This window comes from Homo sapiens, chromosome 4, assembly GCF_000001405.40.
Source record: "Homo sapiens chromosome 4, GRCh38.p14 Primary Assembly".
Classification (NCBI taxonomy): Eukaryota; Metazoa; Chordata; class Mammalia; order Primates; family Hominidae; genus Homo; species Homo sapiens.
In genome coordinates, this window is record NC_000004.12 from 119,443,364 (window position 1) to 119,456,753 (window position 13,390).

Sequence of the window (13,390 nt, forward strand, 5' to 3'; positions counted from 1 at the left end):
AAAGTAGAGACAATAGGGGCACCCTGGTGAGTACGGAACATTTTATTTATTTATTTATTTTGAGATGGAGTTTTGCTCTTTTTGCCCAGGCTAGAGTGCAATGGTGCAACCTCGGCTCACCGCAACCTCTGCCTCCTGGGTTCAAGCGATTCTCCTGCCTTGGCCTCCCGAATAGCTGGGATTACAGACATGCGCCACCACGCCCGTCTAATTTTGTATTTTTAGTAGAGACGGGGTTTCTCCATGTTGGTCAGGCTGGTCTCGAACTCCCGACCTAGATATCTGCCTGCGTTGGCCTCACAAAGTGCTGGGATTACAGGTGTGAGCCACCGTGCCCAGATGAATTCCAAATTTAACAAAGCAGACTAAGAGAAACAATTCATTTAAAAAAATAATATTTGGCCAGGCATGGCGGCTCACACCTGTAATCCCAGTACTTTGGGAGGCTGAGGTGAGTGGATCAGGAGGTCAGCAGTTCAAGACCAGCCTAGCCAAGATCATGAAACCCCATCTCTACTAAAAATACAAAAATCAGCCAGGCGTGGTGGCTGGCGCCTGTAATCCCAGCTGCTCGGGAGGCTGAGGCAGAGAACTGCTTGAACCCAGGAGGCGGAGGTTGCAGTGAGCCGAGATCGTGCCACTGCACTCCAGCCTGGGCGACAGAGTGAGGCTCCGTCTCGAAAAAAAAAAAAAAAATAATTCAATGAAATCCCTAAGATCCAGGGCTTTGCAATAAATATGTAAATAAATTTCCAATCTCCATACTGAAAGTTTAAAAGAAATGCTAACTAATAATTAAAGAAATACAACTTTTCCTCAGCTTTGCAGCAATCTAGAAACAGTGTGTAGACACTACAAAGCACCTTACAAGGAGAAACGTCTAAGGATGGCATGACTCGCCGGCAGCCCTGGGCTTGTCCACAGTACCTCCATGATGAACAGTAACTCCATTGTGTAAACGCCCATGAACATAAGATTACAGGACTTTTCCAGTTTAGACTTACCATATTTTCTTTCAGACAATTCTTCAATTTGTTTACGTAGATGAGCGATACAATTATTCCATTTCTCTGAAAAGCAAAAGTTGATTCTCAATAATACGTCCCTATGTCAGAGCAGCACTAACATATAATGACTTATTTCATATATTTTACATTCTAACAGTCCATATCATTTTACTGCTTTCAAAAAAAAATTTCCCTTTTTTGGTGGTTCTTAGAATTGGTTTAATGGGAGACTATTAGAGAAGCTGAAAAGCAGGAGGGCAGAAAAGTTCAATCAAATTAAACACAATAACAGGGAGGTCACAATGAGGAGGTCTCCAGGGGTCTTTCAGCAAACTTCCTAAAACATGTCTCAGCTGTGTGAAATAAGACTTTACAGCAGCCGGGTGCAGTGATGCAGGCCTGTAATCCCAGCACTTTGGCAGCAGAGGCAGGCGGATCGCTTTGATCTCAGGGCAACATAGCCAAAACCCCCCTCCCTAGCCCCACCCCCACCCCGTCCCTACCAAAAATACAAAACAGCAGGGCATGGTGGTGGGCGCCTGTAGTCCCAGCTACTCAGGAGGCTGAGGCAGGAGAATCACTTGAACCCAGGAGGCAGACGTTGCAGTGAGCCAAGACCACGCCACTGCCAGCCTGGATGACAGAGCAAGACTCCACCTCAAAAAAACAAAAACAAAAACACAAGGTTAAGAGGGACCCCAGACCTTACAGATACAAGTTTAAGAGGGACCCCTAAGCAAAAAATGCCAACCCTTTTTCTCCCAATCATTGAAACACCAGGAGGGTTTAATAGTTTTGCAGCCTAGCTGTAGCAGGCTGATGCCCCCAAGATGCCCATATCCTAATCCCGGGAACTGGTGAACATGACCTTATATGGCAAAAGGGGCTTTGCAGATATAATGAAGTTAAGGGTCTTTGGCTTTTGGGGTTGATGTACTCACCCGGATCCTTATAAGAGCAAAGCAGGTGATGGAGAGGGTGGGAGGTGTAGTGACAGAAGCAGGAAACTCCAGTCATTCGAGACTGGCAGCACAAGCTGAGGAGTGCAGGCCACCTCCACGACCAGGAAACGGATTCTCCCGCAGAGCCTCAGAAGCCACCGACCCTGCTCCCACCTTGACTCAGTAGGACTTACTGTAGAATTCTGGCCTTCAGACCTGTAAGGGAATACATTTTGGTTGTTTTAAGTCACTAAGTGTGTGGTAATTTGTTGCAGCAGCCACAGGAAACTAGTATTGTAGTGAAGCCTCAAAACCCCCCTGAAGGGGCTGGGCTCAGTGGCTCATGCCTGTAATCCCAGCACTTTGGGAGGCCGAGGTGGGTGGATCACTTGAGGTCAGGAGTTCGAGACCAGCCTGGCCAACATGGCGAAATGCCATCTATACAAAAAATACAAAAATTGGCCGGGCATGGTGGCACATGCCCGTAATCTCAGGTACTCAGGAGGCTGAGACAGGAGAATTGTTTGAACCCCGGGGGGCGGAGGTTGCAGTGAACTGAGATTCCACCACTGCACTCCAGCCTGGGTGACAGAGCGATGCTCCATCTCGAAAACAAAACAAAACAAAAAAACCCCACCTGAAGGTTTTCAGTTCTGCCAGCAGTCTCCCACCCAACCCCCAGAAGCAGACATTCCATTGCTGTGGGCCATGGACAGGCAGAAGGAAGCGCCTCCTCATGGCAGAGGCCTACCCAGGAGAAACCCAAGGGAAGGCACTGCCAGGCTGGCCCCTCTCTGCCAAGGCCATATTCTTTTTTTTTTTTTTTTTGAGGCCTAGTTTCACTCTGTCTCCCAGACTGGAGTGCAGGGGCACAATCTCAGCTCACTTCGACCTCTGCCTCCCCAGTTCAAGTGATTCTCCTGCCTCAGCCTCCTGAGTAGCTGGGATTACAGGAGTGTAGCATGCCTAGCTAATTTTTGTATTTCTAGTAGAGATGGGGTTTTGCCATGTTGCCCAGGCTGGACTCGAACTCCTTGCCTCAAGTAGTCCACCTGTCTCAGCCCCCCAAAGTGCTGGGATCACAGGAGTGAGCCACTGCACCCAGCATTTGCCAAGACCTTTGATGGCAGGCTTTTTCCAGGTGATCAGTCCTTGTCTGGTCTGGCTCTGCCCCACTCTCCTTCTCACCTAGTTGGAATCCCTAGCTACTTTTCAGTAGAGAAGAGTGTGTACCCCAATCCCAGCTTGGTTCAGATCTGCACTTAACTAATGGAACCTGGCTGCTCCCCAGGTCCTGAAGGAGAAAAGGGTCTCTCTGTGGGTATGATAAAGGATGGGCCTGTCCCCAGGACCCTGTGAGAGGGAAGCCCAATGTCCCACCAGGTTGGCAGGGCTGGGCAAGGGAAAGTGTTATGGTAGCCCCAAGAAAAAAAGAGGCAGCAGAGGGAGCAGGACAGCGCTCACATGGAACTCATGCCACTGCCTGAGTGAGGGGAGGGAGGAGTGCACGCCAGTGACGTCAGGGGACAGAGAGGCGCAGTTCCAGGGCGGCTTTCCCCCTCACTTCCTGCCATGTTACTCTGATCGCCTCCAGGTGAGCCTGCCCACTTTGTGCCCAAGGGCCTGTAGAAAACCACAGCTCCCCATGGTTATGGCCCCAGGAGTGGGGCAGAGCAGAGAGGAGTCCTGGACAGAGGAGAGGCAGGGGAAGGAGGGAGTGGGCCTCAAACTCGAGGAGGGGGCCCTTCTCATGGGTCCTGCTTTCTGGCTTCTCCTTCCTTACCCCTGGGCTGATCACTTGGGGAAGAAATTAGACAAAGTTTCTCACCCTCAGGCCCAAGGGGTTTAATTACTGGGCCCTTAGGGAGGTGTGAGCCCCCTGAAAGGATGCAAGGTTTTGTTTCGTTTTGTTTTTTGAGACAGAGTTTTGCTCCTGTCGCCCAGGCTGGAGTGCAGTGGCGTGATCTCACCACACTACAACCTGCGCCTCCCGGGTTCAAGTGATTCTCCCGCCTCAGCCTCCGGAGTAGCTGGGATTACAGGTGGCTGCCACCACGCCTGGCTAATTTTTTGTATTTTTAGTAGAGACGAGGTTTCGCCATGTTGGGCAGGCTGGTCTTGAACTCCTGACCTCAGGTGATCCGACTGGCTCTGCCTCCCGAAGTTCTGGGATTACATGAGCCACTGTGCTTGGCCACGATGAAAGGTTTTGTGTGGAGAGCATATACATGCCTTTCTGGGAAAACAGTCTACAGCTCTTATTCTCAGCAGGCTTCACGGTCAAAAAAGGTTAGAACTCTTGCTACAGAGCTGTGGAAGCAGCTAGGTGAGGGGCCTGCCAAGGGCACTCTGGGCACTACCTGGGCACTCTCGAGCCCATCATCCCCTAGGCAGGCTGCACTGCTTGGTATTTGCAGAGCTGAGGGGGTGGGGCATGTGGGGACTGTGAAATCGCCCTGAGATGACCCACAGTCCTCAGCTGGGAAGTGAGCGGTGCATCTCCTGCAGCGTCCTCCATCCCTAGAGCCAAGGGGCCAGGAGAACTGGCCCTTGCAGCAAGTGAAAAGCCTATTATTGACTCCCTCCCTAGCCATGTAGACAGTGAACCAAGACACTCATATCAGGTAAATGCCTTGGTCTCTGTCACCGAGGTGACCAGTAGGCATTCCCAGATACAGTGAAGGTCCTCACACCAAGATATGCACCTGGCCACCTGAGGAAAGAGAAAGGACTATCTGAGGGGATGGGGCTGAGCTGGGTGTGGAGTGGTCCTTGTGGGTCTTGGTGAGTGGGAGGGGGAGCAGCATGAGCCAGGCCTCGAGGCAGAAGGACAACCAGGAGACAGCCTGGAAAAAGTGCTGGACCCACAAGGGCTCAAGGCTGGCCAGAGGGGAGGTGGGATAGGCTGCAAAGTCCCGAGGTCTGAAGATTGGCCCTGGCAGGAAGAAACCAGCTAAGGTGGGGTGTTACCTACACCCTCGGGGCCAGATGCAGGCCAGAGCCAGCCAATTACCAGGCCCTTAGGGAGGTGTGAGCCCCTTGAAATGATGCAAGGTTTTTTGTTTTTGTTTTGGAGACAGAGTTTCACTCTTGTCGCACAGGCTGGCACCTTTGCCCAGAGCAGGCACCAAGATTTCTGGCTCTGGGTGTGACCTCAGTCTGGGTAAAAGCCCCAGCCCCCACCAGGACCACCTACCCCCTAGACTACTTCAGGTGCTGAGCCCAAGCCAGGGGCAGGAAGCTAGACTGATGCCTAGGGTAATCCCAACAAAGTCCCTGGTTCCCCGCAGCTATGGGGCTGATGGGAAATTACAGCCCAAACCCCAGATGCTGGCTGTCAAACTAACACTGAGCCCTCAGTGCCCACAGGGAGATACAATCAGCGCACTTTCCAGATGGGGAAATGGGCTCAGAGAAATGCAACAGCCTTGCCCAATGCCCCAGACCAGGGCTCCAGGCCCAGAGTGTTCTTTTGTTACTGTGTCCAGAGGGCAGCAGCTGCTGTGATGTACCCACCTGAGCCTGGCAGCTTTCTCCAACTTTGGAAGCCCAGGAGCATGGCCCCTGTCCACAGATGCACCTGGCATGAGGCGTGCCCAGAGGGACAGAGGCAGATGAGTTTCGTCTCCTCCACTGGATTGTGAGGGCCTAGAAGGAGACAACGGTCTGCTTGAGAAGGCAGTGAATAGTGAGCAACCTGAGGCAGTGCCCCTCTGGATGGATCCACAGTGCCTGGATGGAACCTGGCTCAGACAGAGCTCAGTTCTGCAGGTCCCTGAGGCATGGAGAGTTCACAGCTACCAAGTGTAGGAGTCTGGATTCAAAGCCAACGGTGTGACTCCAAAGTCCCTGCCCTAGCCCCTGGACCACCCTTGCAGGCCCATCAGATGCCCAGGCCAGCAGCACAGCCGGCCAAGACCAGGGAAACTTGGGGAGCCTCAGAGCACCCCCAGGTATTCCAACCTAATCCTGGTACCCCTGCCTCTCACCACCCTTCTTCCTGCTTTAACCTCAATCCCTACACAAAGCCTGGGCCACTTAATGTGGCATCAAACAGATGCCTCAATAAATCAGAGTCTAATCTTGAAAAAAAAAAAAAAAGACTTAACAGATATACAACTGCACGTTAGAATGCTAAAGACCATAAACATATAACAACTTAAAGTACATATAAATTCAATATATATCCAATCATTGTGACTATGACACAGTAGAATATTAAAATACTATTTTCAAAATGTATACAAGCTTAATGTTCTATGTATTCAAACTATTTATTCAAAATATAAATCATCAACATAATTTGCCACTAATATTCAGTCCCTTCACAGGACACGTGATTCACTGGGAGTTAATAAATTAGCAGCTGGCAGGCAGTGACACACAGCAAAAATGAAAACCAAGAGGTGAAATAGTTCTGAAATAAAGGTTTTAAAGCTAACAGAAATCACTGAATTACTAAGTCATTAGCACTAATTTTGAGCCAACTAACTAATTAATATGAGATGATACAACGTCCTATACTTTGGTATATACAGACTATGTTTAAACAATGTCTGAATGTCTGTAACGTGACTTTCAAAATGCTCCTGGCTTTACAAAGATGTGATTAAGATGTAGTAATACATGCTAAACCATTTCCCCCTGCAGAGCATGTGGTAACTTTCATCAGTCACATTGAGAGTCCAGAAGATAAAGGAAAAGGTCGTGGATTTCGCTGAGAACTTGCCAGAGTTGAACTCCCTCATTTTCCGTTCCCCAGCATTAGCGGGTTCTGGGACTGGTGGCTGTGGTGGCTCGTTGGTCTTTGTGTCCTAGAAGGTGGGGAATAATCATCATCTTGAAAAAGAAAAAATGGTCATTACTGAAGGAACCATCTTAGTTTACAGCCACCTCTGGGTCAATTCCCAACATTCAAAAGCTGAGCAGGGCTTTAAAGCTATCTTAATAATTATTTCTGTATTGCAAACTTCAGCAATCTTTTTTCTAGTTACATTTGAAATGTTATTCTTTTGGGATGTGCTCAAGTGAATACTGCTTTTTCCTCTGTCTTGCTTCATTACTTTTTAGTTTGCTTCAATTGAAGCATCATTGTAAGTCTCCCCTTCTCCTCAAATAACTTTAAATTGCTGCCAAGAACTATGTTCTATTTTAAGGCTTTTGAGAAAAAATTTTCAATGAAGATAGCCACCTAAAGTTATACAAATATAGAAGAAACGGGATAAAATAAAGCTTAGATTGGAAAAAATATTTAAGATTATACAAAATTCAAGCATAAACAAGGGAAACTGAGTAATTGTATATTCAAATACTTTTAACAAGTGCAAAACATGTAGGCTTAAAGAAATAGAGCTGGCCAGGCATGGTGGTTCACGCCTGTAATTCCAACACTTTGGGAGGCCGAGGCAGGCAGATAACTTGAGGTCAGGAATTCGAGACCAGCCTGGCCAATATAGTGAAACCCCCTCTCTACTAAAAATACAAAAATTAGGCCAGGAGCAATGGCTCATGCCTGTGATCCCAGCACTTTAAGAGGCTGAGGAAGGTAGATCACCTGAGGTCAGGAGTTTGAGACCAGCCTAACCAACATAGAGAAACCCCGTCTCTACTAAAAATACAACATTAGCCGGGTGTGGTGGCACATGCCTGTAATCCCAGCTACTCGGGAGGCTGAGAAAGGAGAATCCCTTGAACCCGAAAGGCAAAGATTGTGGTGAGCCGAGATTGTGCCATTGCACTCCAGCCTGGGCAACAACAGCGAAACTCCATCTCAAAACAAAAAAAGAAAAAATTAGCCAGGTGTGGTGGCACATGCCTGTAATCCCAGCTACTTGGGAGGCTGAGGCAGGAGAATCGCTTGAACCCAGGAGGCTGAAGTTGAGGTGAGCCGAGACTGCACCATTGCACTCCAGCCTGGGTAACAGAGCAAGACCCTGTCTCAAAAAAAAAAAAAAAAAAAAGAGAAAGAAAGAAAGAGGGCTACATTATTTATGAAACAGATACTGTTAACTCAGTCACCAGAAAGCCTGTGTATAAATGAGCAGTGAGATATTCAAGCACAGCACACACACACTTCTCAAGACAGCTGTCGTGAGAGTTCCAAGCTCGTTTCCTTCTGGATACATCAGCAACTCACTCTGCTATGATCCTGCAATACATCTCATGTTAGAATTAGACACATCTGGGCCAGGCACAGTGGCTGATGCCTGTAATCCTAACACTTTGGGAAGCTGAGGCAGGCAGATCACCTAAGGTCAAGAGTTCAAGACCAGCCTGGCCAACATGGTGAAACGCTGTCTCTACCAAAAATACAAAAAATTAGCTGGGCATGGTGGCGTGCCCCTGTAATCCCAGCTACTCGGGAGCCTGAGGCAGGAGAATCGCTTGAACCCGGGAGGTGGAGGCTGCAGTGAGCCGAGATCATGCCACTGCACTCCGGCATGGGGGACAGAGCAAGGCTCTGTCAAAAAAAAAAAAAAAAAAAAAAAGAAAAAAAAAAAAAACAGAAACAGAAAAAGAAAAAAGAATTAGAAACATCTGAATCAAATTAGCTGCCAGTCTCGCAAAGTGTCGGGTAACATCCTATTAAGATTGCTGCTTACACATCATCTATAAAATACTGAAAATATCATTTTAAGAAATCTTTTTTTTATTTTGAGACAGAGTTTTGCACTTGTTGCCCAGGCTGGAGTGCAATGGTGCGATATCAGCTGACTGCAACCTCTGCCCCCTGGGTTCAAGCAATTCTCCTTCCTCAGCCTCCTGAGTAGCTGGGATTACAGGCATGCGCCACCACGCCTGGCTAATTTTGTATTTTTAGTACAGACAGGGTTTCTCCATATTGGTCAGGCTGGTCTCGAACTCCTGACCTCAGGTGATCCACTGACCTTGGCCTCCCAAAGTGCTGGGATTACAGGTGTGAGCCACCATACCTAGCCAAGAAACCCTTATTTGAAAACAAGCCAGGCGCAGTGGCTCATGCCTATAATCCCAGCACTTTGGGAAGCCAAGGCGGGTGGATCACTTGACGTCAGTAGTTTGAGACCAGCCTGGGCAACATGTTATAACCCCATCTCTACTAAAAATATATTTAAAAAATTAGCTGGGTGTGGTGGTGGGCACCTGTAATCCCGGGTTCTCAGGAGGCTGAGGCAGGAGAATCACTTGAACCTGGGAAGTGGAGGTTGCAGTGAGTGGAGATCATGCCACTGCACTCCAGCCTGGGTGACAATAGAAAGACTCCATCTCAAAAACAAAACAAAACAAAACAAAAAACCACTAAAAAAAGACTCCATTTCAAAAACAAAACTAAAACCAAAAACACAACACAAATGTAGTATACAAATGAAAATAATTACTGTGTTAAACACAGTTTCATAGAAAATAAAAGACCAATCAAATACAATAAGCTGCCTTTTTAGATGGGTATGTTATTCTTCTTTTACAGCTAAAGAAACCGGCTCAGAGAATGTTATTTGATTGGACCGTGTTGCATCTCTGGACAGTGCAGCTGAGATCAGACTTTGTGTGTAACTCCACTAGCCTACCAGGGTGCCTCTCATAAAGGTAAGAAATGTAAATTTGGCCTAATATAAAAAGTTGCCAGGGCAGCACTGGGTCAATTCTACATACAGTACTTCTATGTTCATCAAGGGAAACCTTAAGGGAAAGTGAAAATGCTTCTAGAAGGTGACTGGACACCAGCGCCTTTGCTTGTTGCCTTTGGGCTCTTCTTCTAAGGCCAACAGTGACCTGAAATTATTGACTGACTTTTCCAATCAAGTGGACAAAATGGTACCAAGGTCGCCAACATCAGACAAATTCACTTGAGGGCCTTATCTATGTGCCTTGAAAGACAAAACTGCTTTTGTAAAGGATACTGTATTTCAGAAAAACATAATCATATTAACAACTAATAAGACTGTAAAATGCTGATGTGTTGAATGCTACTTTAGAAAAACATGCTCAAATCTAGGGAAAAAATTTGATACAAAACTACGTATCAATTATCTAGCTAGCTAGCTAGCTATCTAGAGACATGCTTTCACTCTATTGCTCAGGATGGGAAGCAGTGGGATTATCATAGCTCACTGCAGCCTTGAGCTCCTGGCCTCAAGTGATCCTCCTGCCTCAGCCTCCTAACTAGCTAGGGCCACAGGTGGACACAGTTACTCCTGCGTTTTTGTTTGTTTGTTTTGTAGAGACAGGGTTTCACTACATTGCCCAGGCTGGTGTCAAAACTTTGGAGTCTCGCTATGTCGCCCAGGCTGGGGTGCAGTGGTGCGATCTCCGCCCAATGCAACCTCCGCCCCCCGGGTTCAAGTAATTCTCTTTTATCAGCCTCCCAAGTAGCTGGGACTACAGGCATGCGCCACCACGCCTGGCTAATTTTTGTATTTTTTGTAGAGACTGGGTTTCACCATGGCCAGGCTGGTCTCCAACTCCTGACCTCAGGTGATCCACCCGCCTCGGCCTCCCGAAGTGTTGGGATTACAGGTGTCAGCCACTGAGCCTGGCGGAGCACTTTCTTATGTTATTAAGTAGCCTAACCCAGGTGGGGCGCTGTCCCTCACGCCTGTAATCCCGACAACTCTGATGGCCAAGGTGAGAAGATCGCTTCAACTCAGGAGTTCGAAACTGACCCGGGCAACATAGCGAGGCCCCCCCCCCACCCCATCTCTAGAAAAAAAAAATACAAAAATTAGGCCAGGTGCACACCGCGCCCGGCTAATTTTTGTATCTTTTGTAGAGACGGGGTTTCGTCATGTTGCCCAGGCTGGTCTCGAACTCCTGAGCCCAAGCCATCCATCCTCCCGCCTCGGCCTCCCAAAGTGCTGGGATTACAGTAGGGCCCAGCCAGCCTCATGTTTTATTTAGCAGTCCCTCCCTGTTGCACACTTGGATAGTTTTTTAATTTTTTTACACAGGGTTTACCTCAATCTCGCAGGCTGGAATGCTGTGATGGGATCATAGCTCACTGGAGCCTTGAACCGTTGGGTTCATACTTGAGGGCTGGGGGGCTGAGCCCCCCTCAGCTGGGGGGAGCTGAGGTAGGACTACAGAGATGGGGTTGCGCCATGTTGCTAGGCTGCTCTTGGCCTGAAGGGTCCTCCCGCCTCGGCGGCGCCAGACATAGTTTTCTATTTTTGACCAACATAAACACTGTGCTGGGTCTGAATTTTTCAGCTACCCTTCTTCGGCTGGCAACACACAGGACCTGGCGGGGAGGTCGCTCTTACCAGTCCCCACTCTGACGAGAAGACTGCCCAGCTCCAGGCACCGTAGGGCCCCAGTGACGTAGCCGAACACCCACGCCTCTGACGTCGCCAGAGGCCCACCTCTATGGTGTCGGCGAAGGCGCGCCATTGTGACGTCACGGAAGGCGCGCTCTTGTGACGCCACGGAAGGCGCGCTCTTGCGGCGTCACGGAAGGCGCGCTCTTGTGAGGTCGCAGGGGACCGCCACTCACGCGGAGCCAATCGGAACTCGCGGCGGGGCTGCTGGGTCTTCCAGGAGCGCGCTTGAGCGGACGCTGCCTACCGGTGGCCGGGCGGGATGTAACCCGCTGCTGAGCTGGCAGCTCTGTGTCGCTAGGCTTCGGCCCGGCCGCCGCCGCACATAAGCTGCGAGGAGGAGCTTTACGACTTCCCGGTCTTCGGGGCCGGGCGCAGCAAGGGCCAGACTCTGCGCTAGCAGGCGCTGCGCGCCAACCGGCCGGCACCTGTCGCAGAAGGTGCAACCGATCGCACTGTCGCGCCGAAGCTCCTCAATGGCCAGCGCCAGCTGCAGCCCCGGCCGCCCACTCGCCTCACCTGAGCCTGGGTACGTGCGCCCCACAACACCTCCCCCAGGCAGGGCCCGGGGACCCCCGGGAGCGTCCCCGGCTACCTGGCGCCGCTCATCCTGGGTAGGGTTGGCCCCCTCTGAGGCTGCCCGGCATGAGGGAGCTGCACCCCTGAGCTTGACCTCTGACGGCCCTTTGTAATAGCATTAAGTCTTTGAAACTTTGTAGCGGGGTAGAAGGGGCTAGGAAACGAAGAAAACATCTTTTTAAAAATATAAGCGGTCGGCTGGGCGAGGTGGCCCACGCCTGTAATCCCAGCACTTTGGGAGGTCGAGGCGGGTGGATCACGAGGACAGGAGTTCAAGACCAGCCTGGCCAGCATGGTTTCACTGAAACCCCGTCTCTACTAAAAACACAAAAATTAGTCGGGCGTGGTGGCGGGTGCCTGTAATCCCAGCTACTCGGGAGGCTGAGGCAGAGAATTGTTTGAACCCGGGATGCGGAGGTTGCAGTGAGCGGAGATCGCGCCACTGCACTCCAGCCTGGGCAACAGACCAAGACTCCGTCTAAACAAACAAATATATGTGTGTATATATATGCGATCGAGCCCGGGAGGTTGAGATTACAGTGAGCTGAGATTATATAAGCGATCAAGCACTGGAGGTTGAGGTTACAGTGAGCTGAGATTGCGCCATTGCACTCCAGCCCGTGTAACAGAGGGAGACTCTGTCTCTAAAAAATTATATGCAAGTGAGCGCTTTTCTTCCAGCGCTCATGCTCAGACTGAAGAAAGTAATTGGGCCAGGCCTGGTGGCTCACGCCCATAATCCCAGCATTTTGGGGAGGCGGAGGCGGAGGCGGAAGCGGGTGGGTCGCTTGAGCTCAGGAATTCCAGACTAGTTTGGGCAACATGGTGGAACCCTGTCTCTACAAAAATACAAAAAATTAGCTGGGCATGGTGGCACGCACTTGTAGTCTCCGCTACTTGCCGGGCTTAGGCGGGAGGATCGCTCGGCTGCAGCCTCGACCTCCTGGGGCAATCCATTTCAGCCTCCCAAAGTGCTGAGATTACAGGAATGAGCCATCGTGCCTGGCTTTGCACTATATTTTAATACTTTTTTTGAAAATGGAAACTTTTACAGGCAATTTACTTCAAACTAATGATAAGGAAGTGATGCTGTTCTGTTCTGTTTTGTTGTTTTTGTGTTTTTTTTTTTTTCTTTTTTGAGATGGGGTCTTGCCCAGGTTGGAGTGAGGTGGTGCAAACAAGGCTCACTGCAGCCTTGACCTTCTGGCTCAAGGAATCCTTCCCCGTCAGCGTCCCCGGTAGCTAGGACTACAGGTGCATGCTACCACGCTTGGCTAATTCTTTTTTTGAAATGGAGTCTCACTCTGTCTCCCAGGAGTGCAGTGGTGCAATCTCGGCTCACTGCAGGCTGGTCTCAACCTCTGACTTCGGATGGTCCACCCACTTCTGCATCCCAAAGTGCTGGGATTACAAGTGTGACCCACCGCGCCTGGCGATTTTGCTCATTTTAGATACTAGAACTTTTTAATTTAAAATTTTTTTTTTCCTGAGATGGAGTCTTTGTCTCCAGGCTGGAGTGTAGTGGCGTAATCTCGGCTCACTGCAACCTCCGCCTCCTGAGTTCAAGCGA

At 49.6% G+C, this 13,390-nt stretch overlaps 2 pseudogenes across 2 annotated transcripts in view, besides 1 other annotated feature; one reads left to right on the top strand and one right to left on the bottom strand.

Annotated features, from left to right (window-relative positions):
- Positions 1 to 6,206: 6,206 nt before the first annotated feature.
- On the bottom strand, positions 6,207 to 11,265 carry GTF2IP12 (general transcription factor IIi pseudogene 12; annotated as a pseudogene). The gene is made up of 2 exons (NR_135112.1): positions 10,883 to 11,265; positions 6,207 to 6,762 (listed from the first exon to the last, which is right to left on the bottom strand). The product of NR_135112.1 is annotated as a general transcription factor IIi pseudogene 12 (transcript).
- Positions 10,981 to 11,520: an enhancer, noted in NCBI's record as "active region_21856". NCBI's record gives its function as "activates an Ori minimal core promoter by ATAC-STARR-seq in GM12878 lymphoblastoid cells {active_cell/tissue: GM12878}" and the evidence as "EXISTENCE:reporter gene assay evidence [ECO:0000049][PMID:35858748]".
- Positions 11,420 to 13,390, top strand: part of SEPTIN7P14 (septin 7 pseudogene 14) — a 44,810-nt pseudogene continuing 42,839 nt past the window's right edge. Inside the window, exon 1 of the transcript NR_037630.1 lies at positions 11,420 to 11,770. The product of NR_037630.1 is annotated as a septin 7 pseudogene 14 (transcript). The remainder of the gene's footprint in view (positions 11,771 to 13,390) is intronic.